At 53.7% G+C, this 8,074-nt stretch overlaps 1 protein-coding gene and 1 pseudogene across 1 annotated transcript; both read left to right on the plus strand.

The window, feature by feature from the left end:
* On the plus strand, positions 1,505-2,945 carry ATF4P2 (activating transcription factor 4 pseudogene 2; annotated as a pseudogene).
* Positions 5,992-7,675, plus strand: CTAG1A (cancer/testis antigen 1A). Its single transcript, NM_139250.2, has 3 exons — positions 5,992-6,334; positions 7,011-7,145; positions 7,385-7,675. Exons 1-3 carry the CDS (start codon positions 6,066-6,068, stop codon positions 7,521-7,523), a joined length of 543 nt encoding a protein of 180 aa, NP_640343.1. The 5' UTR covers positions 5,992-6,065; the 3' UTR covers positions 7,524-7,675.
* The last annotated feature ends 399 nt before the right edge of the window (positions 7,676-8,074 follow it).

Raw genomic sequence — 8,074 nt, forward strand, 5'->3', positions numbered from 1 at the left:
TTAAGAGCACCGGACTGGGAGCTGGAAGAGTCTGTGATTCTTGAACTCCTGGGCTCAAGCGATCCTCCCACCTGGATCTCCCAAAGTACTGGGACTACAGGCATGAGCCAACATGCATGGCCGAGTCTGTGATTCTTTACTGGAATGGAGTGACGTGTGTTTTCTTCTTAAATGACATCGTGAATTTCCAAGGTCCTTGAAATCTCTTTGCATCTCTTTCCAATTTGCCATTGCTATGCCTGAAGTTCAGTTGGAATGCTTATATTTCAGCTTATCACATTACCTATATTCTGATCAAATATGTTATGGCATCGAAGCTAATTTTGAGACATGGTCCCTAGGCCGTGGGACCTAATGACCAGAGATGGAAGTCTATGTGCTGCTTCTGTCCCAAGGGAGATGAGTATCTGTTAGGGGCTCACTCGGGACTGTGTGGTGCTACCTGAGTGCGACACAGATGCTGGAGACTTGAGAAGATATCACTGTAGACTCCAACCCTGTTATAGCTGATGAGGAAAAAACTGAGAGTATTTATTATTGCCCCCACAAAATGCACATATTTTATTATATTGATAAGATGTGAACAATATGTTATTCCTCAATATTCTGCAGGTTGCCTTTTCATTTTGTTGATTGTTACTGAATTCTTCTACCCCCAAAAAGGATTACATGAGAAGATTGTGAACAATTGTTTGCCAACAAATTAGATAACCTAGATGAAGTGGACAAATTCCTAGAAATGTACAAACCATGAAAACTGACTCAGGAAGAAATAGATTTCATTTCCTTCAGATCTATACCCAGAAGTGGGAGAGCTGGATCATATGGTAGTTCTATTTTTAATTTTTTGAGGGTCATTCACAGGCCTGGAGGCTGAAGAGGGAAGAATGGTTTTTTGGACCCAGCCCAGAGCCCTGCTGGCCTGAGCACCCTCGGGACACTGCTATCTGCGCCCCAGCTGCTCCAGCTCCAGCCATGGCTACAAGGGCCCCAGATACGCCTCCGGCTGCTGCTCTGGAGGGTGCAAGCTGTAAGCCTTGGTGGCTTCCATGTGGTGTTAAGCCTGCGGGTATGCAGAGGGCAAAAGTTGAGGCTTGGGAACCTCTGCCTAGATTCAGAGGATGTATGGAAACGCCTGAATGTCCAGGCAGAAGTCTGCTGCAGGGGCGGAGCCCTCCTGGGGAACCTCTACTAGCGTAGTGCAGAAGGGAAATCTGGGGTTGGAGTCCCCACTGGGGCACTGCCTAGTGGAGCTGTGAGAAGGGGGCCACCATCCTCAAGACCCCCGAATCATAGATCCACTGACAACTCGCATTATACTCCTGGAAAAGCTGCAGACATTCAATACCAGCCCAGGAAAGCAGCCGAGGGGGCTGTACCCTGCAGAGCCACAGGAGCGGAGCTGCCCAAGGCCTCAGGAGCCCACCCCTTGCCTCAGTGTGGCCTGGATGTAAGACATGGAGCCAAAGGAGATTATTTTGGAGCTTTAAGAATTAATGACGATTTTCTGCTCCGCCCGCCCACAGATGTAGTTTCCTCCGCACGTGCGCACCTTCCCTCCTCCCCGCCTGCAGGGTCCATGGCCTCCATGGCGTTTTAGGGGCAGCAGTGCCTGTGGCAGCCTTGGCCTTTGCAGCGGTGGCAGCAGCACCAGGCTCTGCAGTGGCATCCACCGGCGGCTTAAGCCGTAGCACTTCTCACAGCATTCAGCAGCAGCATTGCTGTAACCGACAAAGACACCTTCGAATTAAGCACATTCGTTGATTCCAGCAAAGCACTGCACCATGACCGAGATGAGCTTCCTGAGCAGCGAGGTGTTGGTGGGGGCTTGATGTCCCCCCTTGACCAGTCAGGTTTGGGGACTGAAGAAAGCCTAGGTCTCTTAGATGACTACCTGGAGGTGGCCAAGCACTTCAAACCTCATGGGTTCTCCAGCGACAAGGCTAAGGCAGACTCCTCCGAGTGGCTGGCTGTGGATGGGTTGGTCAGTGCCTCCAACGATGGCAAGGAGGATGCTTTCTTTGGGACAGATTGGATGTTGGAGAAAACTGATCTGAAGGAGTTCGACTTTGATGCCCTGTTGGGTATAGATGACCTGGAAACCATGCCAGACGAGCTTCTGGCCACGTTGGATGACTCGTGTGATCTCTTTGCCCCCCTAGTCCAGGAGACTATTAAGGAGCCCCCCCAGTCCAGGAGACTATTAAGGAGCCCCCCCCAGATGGTGAACCCGATTTGCCATCTCCCAGAAAGTTTAACCCGACCAGGTTGCCCCCTTCACCTTCTTGCAACCTCTTCCCCTTTCCCCAGGGGTCCAGTCCTCCACTCCAGATTATTCCTTTAGTCTAGAGCTGGGCAGTGAAGTGGATATCTTTGAAGGAGCTAGGAAGCCAGACTCCACTGCTTACATTTCCAAGATCCCTCACTGCACAAAGGAGGAAGACGCCCCCTCAGATAATGATAGTGGCATCTGTATGAGCCCAGAGTCCTATCTGGGCTCTCCCTCTACCTCCAGGGGCTCTCCGAGTAGGAGCCCGCCATCTCCAGGTGTCCTCTGTGGCTCTGCCTGCCCCAAACCTTATGACCCTCCTGGAGAGAAGATGGTAGCAGCACAAGTAAAGGGTGAGAAACTGGATAAGAAGCTGAAAAAAAAATGGAGCAAAACCAAACAGCAGGAACTAGGTATCGCCAGAAGAAGAGGGTGGAGCAGGAGGTCCTCACTGGTGAGTGCAAAGCGGTGGAAAAGAAGAACGAGGCTCTGCAAGAGAGGGCGGATTCCCTGGCCGAGGAGATCCAGTACATGAAAGATTCGATAGAAGAGGTCTGCAAGGCAAGGGGGAAGAAAAGGGTCCTCTAGTTGAGGGTAGTCAGGAGCGTCAATGTGCTTGTACATAGGAGTCTCGCGCTGTAGCTGTGTGTTCGAATAAATTATTTTGTAGTGGAAAAAAAAAAAAAAAGAATTAATGACTGTCCTGTTGGGTTTTGGACTTGCATGGGGCCTGTAGCCCCTTTGTTTTGGCCGATGTCCCCCTTTTGGAAAGGGAGTATTTACCCAATGCCTGTACCTCAATTTTATCTTGGAAGTAGCTAACTTGTTTTAGATTTTACAGGCTCATAGGCAGAAGGGACTTGCCTTGTCTCAGTTGAGACTTTGGACTGTGGATTTTTGAGTTAATGCTGAAATGGGTTAAGACTTGGGGGACTGTTGAGAGGAGATTATTGTATTTTGCAATGTGAGAAGTACATGAGATTTGGGAGGGGGCAGGGGTGGAATGATATGATTTGGATTTGTGTCCCCACCCAAATCTCATGTTGAATTGTAATCCCTAGTGTTGGAGGAGGGGACTGGTGGGAGGCGATTGGATCATGGGGGTCGATTTCCCCCTTGCTATTCTCGTGATGTTGAGCTCTCACAAGATCTGGTTGTTTAAAAGTGTATAGCACCTCCCCCTTCACTTTCTCTTTCTCCTTCTCTGGCCATATAAGATGTGCCTCCTTCCTCTTTGCCTTCCGCTATGATTGTAACTTTCCTGAGGCCTCCCCAGCCATGCTTCCTGTAGAGCCTGCAGAACTGTGAGTCAATTAAACCTCTTTTCTTTATAAATTACTCAGTCTTAGGTAGTCCTTTATAGCAATGCGAGAACGGATTAGTACCGTCAATATTGATGAGAATGTTGAGCTATGTGTATGTACGCTGACACATTATGGTGGAAGCGAAAATTGGCTCAAACCACTTGGGAAAACATGGCATTATCTAGTAAATTTCGAGATATGTATTGGCTGTGATACAGCAATTCCAAAAAAAAACTTGGACATGTGCTTCAAGAGACCTGTACAAGCATGTTCATAGCCAAGGGCTGGAAACTATCCAAATGCCTGCCCATCATCAGCAGAATGGATAAATTAGAGGACTATAAAACTCTGCCGTAATGTAATAGGTAGTTTCCAAGAAATCCAATCGCATACAATGTGAAAATGTGTTACTGTGGGGTTAATGAAATGAATGAGGCAAGCCCGCTGGACCATCCAAATCTGTCCTGCTCCCGGCTGGAGTTTGATGCCATCTAGTGGCAGACGTTGCTCTGGCTGAAATATTGATGGAGATTTCCGGTCCAGTGGCTGGCTGAGACTTCCAGGACAGTGGCAGTATCTCCAGGAATCTCTCAGTCAGTTAGGACTTCCTTTCTTGACTTGATCTGAGGATAATAGGCCGGGAAAATAATGGGGACCCGGAGACCCTCCCTCTGTCTTCCTGCTTCCTAAGACAGGGTCACATGCACTTTACTCTCCCTTCCCTGACCTGTTGAAGGTAAGAACTTTAGCCTGCCTCTGTCTGAGAATGGGGAGACTGAGCAGAGGACGACAGGAAGGATGGCAATCACTAACCGGGTTATGTCTGATTTTCAGCTATTCCAGGTGTTAACAAGTTGTGTTCTCTGGTTTTTAAAATTCATCATTTAATGAAATATATGTAATGAAATACAGCAGTGAAAATAATAAACTGGAGGTACACGCAAGAGCTTGGGTGAATTTTTCTTTTCTGTAAGTAAAAACATTTTTAACTGATGTATGATAACTCTGCATATTTATGGGATACATGTGATATTCTGATACATGCACACGCACACACGATGTAATGATCAAGTCGGGGTATTTAGGATCTCCACCACCTCAAGCATTTATCATTTCTTTTTTTGGGGAACATTTCCTATCTTTTAGCTATTTTGAAATATACAATAAATAATTACCTATAGTCCCTCTACGGTGCTATCAAACACTAGAACTTAATCCTTCTATGCAACTATATGTTTGTCCCCATTAACCTCCCCACCCTCCCCACCTTTCCCAGCGTCTGGTAACCATCATTCTGCTCTACCTCCAAAAGATCAACGTTTTTAGTTTCCACATGAGTGCCAATATGCTTTTCCCAGGTGCAGAGGCTGCTGATTCCTGGATTTGGAAGGTGGGGGAGAGTGGTTTGGATTTCAGTACCTCCCCCTTCCTCAGGGCTAGGCCCTGTCTGGTCACCTCCTGTTGCTACAGGTGTGCCTGGCACAGACATTCAGCTCCCGGGGCCGTGCCGCCCTCACCCCTGCATGCCTCTAGAGGTACCTGTCCCGTGGATTTGACCCCCTTCCAGACACACAAATAGATCACCACTGAGCAGACACAGGGTCACCTCCCAGCTCCCTACCAGGCAAGAGCGACCAGGGCAGGGACTGATACTGCCGAACCCAGGAGCCAGGCCCGACCCAGCCTCAGGTCCAGCAGGTCCCGCCTGTCCACCTGGGCCAGGCCTAGAGCCCGGGAGCCCCTGGCTGGTGGGAGGCCACCCGCAACCCACCCCACACGCAGCTCCAGCTCCCCCACCAGGCGGGGCGACTAGGACAGGGACAGAACCCGTTGAACCCAGGAGTGAGATCCGGCCCCGGGTCCCGCTGGGCCCTCCCGTCCACCTTGGCTGGACCTGGCGCCTGGGAGACCTTGGCTGGCGCGAGGCCACGCCCACCAGACATGCAGTTCCAGCTACCCCACCAGCTGGGCGACCAGGACAGGGACGGAGGCTGCTGAGCCCAGTTAGAGGCCTGCCCCCCGGGGTCTGTCCTGGGCGCTCCCCCAAGGACGGACAGGGCAGGCAGGGTCCGGGACGATGGCCGCACAGTCCCGGCCCCGTGTTCCCAGGCCCGTCTTGCTCCTCGATGTGAGGGAGACCCGGGGGATGGGACAGGCTGGGCCCCGCAGTGCCTGACTCCCTGCAGGGCTCCCGGGACAGGGGTCCGGCGGACAGCCGGCTGCTCAGGGGTGAGGGGTCCAAGCTGGCATTGCGGCCACCTTCCGGCCCGGGCTCTCTTGGGGAGGGGCGGGGTTGGTGAGAACCGGTCACGTGCTCCGGGGCTCACTCGGGGTCTCCCAGGGCCGGAAGTAGGGCCCCTGTGCGCAGGCGCCCTGAGGATCCCGGGCTGCCCATCTCACGCCAGGGGGCGGAACTTCCTGCAGCCTCTCTGCCTCCGCATCCTCGTGGGCCCTGACCTTCTCTCTGAGAGCCGGGCAGAGGCTCCGGAGCCATGCAGGCCGAAGGCCGGGGCACAGGGGGTTCGACGGGCGATGCTGATGGCCCAGGAGGCCCTGGCATTCCTGATGGCCCAGGGGGCAATGCTGGCGGCCCAGGAGAGGCGGGTGCCACGGGCGGCAGAGGTCCCCGGGGCGCAGGGGCAGCAAGGGCCTCGGGGCCGGGAGGAGGCGCCCCGCGGGGTCCGCATGGCGGCGCGGCTTCAGGGCTGAATGGATGCTGCAGATGCGGGGCCAGGGGGCCGGAGAGCCGCCTGCTTGAGTTGTATTCTGTTCTGTTCTGTTCTGTTCTGTTCTGACAGTTCTGGTGGCGAGGTGGGGGCCGGGAGATGGGGAGGGCAGGGCCAGGTGGGGGAGGAGGCGGGGGAGATGCGAGTAAGTGGTTGGGTGGGGGTGGGGGTGGGGGTTGGGAGGTGGGGATATGAGAGGCCAGCTGCGAGGAGGGGAGGAGGTAAGGGCTGGGAGGTAGAGGGGGTGGGGGTGGGGGAGAGGGGCTGGGTGATTGGGTGAGGGGCACCGGGTCATGCGGGGAGGGGAGCAGGGGCCAGGAGATAGGGGGACCCAGGTGTAGGAGGGGATCAGGAGGTGGGGGGAAGGGGGCAAGATGGGAGCGGGTGGCGGGAGGTGGTTGGGATGGAGGGTCGAGTGATGAGGAGGGGGCCGGGTGATGCCACAGGGGGCAGGGTGGGGAGGGGTCTTGTAAGGGCATGGAGGAGTCAGCTTGGGGTGCAGCAAAGGAAAGTGGGGAACCAAGACAGCTGGGTGGGGTGTGCTACTGGGCCAGTGCCTGGGGAGACAGCCTGGGGGGGATGGGCTGGGCAATCCGGGGTAGGGGGGAGGGGTGGGGGAGTGGGGGAGGGGGAAGCTGGCCTGGGGTAAGCAGCAGGCCGGAGCCACAGGCCAAGTCCTAGGAGAGGATGCCTTAACTGGGCCCCCACCAGCTACCTCGCCATGCCTTTCGCGACACCCATGGAAGCAGAGCTGGCCCGCAGGAGCCTGGCCCAGGATGCCCCACCGCTTCCCGTGCCAGGGGTGCTTCTGAAGGAGTTCACTGTGTCCGGCAACATACTGACTATGTCAGTTCAGGACCAGGACAGGGATGGGGCCTGGGTGGGTGGCGGTCACAGCGTGGCAGGGTGGGGGCTGGGATCCGCCTACACCCCACGGTCAGGCTGCTAGAAACCTGGGAACACCCCAGCACAGGGTCTCAGAACAGAGACCTGGTACACCAGGCCCGCCGCCACCCGAGGGAGCCCAGGGAGATGGGTGCAGAGGTGTCGCCTTTAACGTGATGTTCTCTGCCCCTCACATTTAGCCGACTGACTGCTGCAGACCACCGCCAACTGCAGCTCTCCATCAGCTCCTGTCTCCAGCAGCTTTCCCTGTTGATGTGGATCACGCAGTGCTTTCTGCCCGTGTTTTTGGCTCAGCCTCCCTCAGGGCAGAGGCGCTAAGCCCAGCCTGGCGCCCCTTCCTAGGTCATGCCTCCTCCCCTAGGGAATGGTCCCAGCACGAGTGGCCAGTTCATTGTGGGGGCCTGATTGTTTGTCGCTGGAGGAGGACGGCTTACATGTTTGTTTCTGTAGAAAATAAAACTGAGCTACGATTCCGTGTCTGAGTCTCTTTTCGGCGAGCGAAGGCACCTTCGGACTTGCATGCCCTTGTCCTCGGGTTGCAGGGGAGGCTCTGGGATTCACAGATTGAAGTAGCACAAGGTAACGGGAGGCAATTTGGGAAATGGGGGAAAATGAAAAGCCACTGGGTCCCGCCATTCAGCATTAACTACTGTGGACATTTTAGAATATTTTCCTCAATATACTTGCATTTATATGTTAAATATATGACAGTAGCATATATAATGTTTTTCCAGGTCAGCATTAAATTTTTTCCCAAATTGTTTTCATTGAACATATGAGCTTTTTTACTTGGGAAAAATTCTTTGAAAACGTACTTGAATAGATGCATAGAACCAGCATTATCATATCACTGTTAAGCATGTGATATG

The sequence above is a fragment of the Homo sapiens genome, chromosome X (genome assembly GCF_000001405.40).
Source record: "Homo sapiens chromosome X, GRCh38.p14 Primary Assembly".
In the NCBI taxonomy this organism is placed as follows: Eukaryota; Metazoa; Chordata; class Mammalia; order Primates; family Hominidae; genus Homo; species Homo sapiens.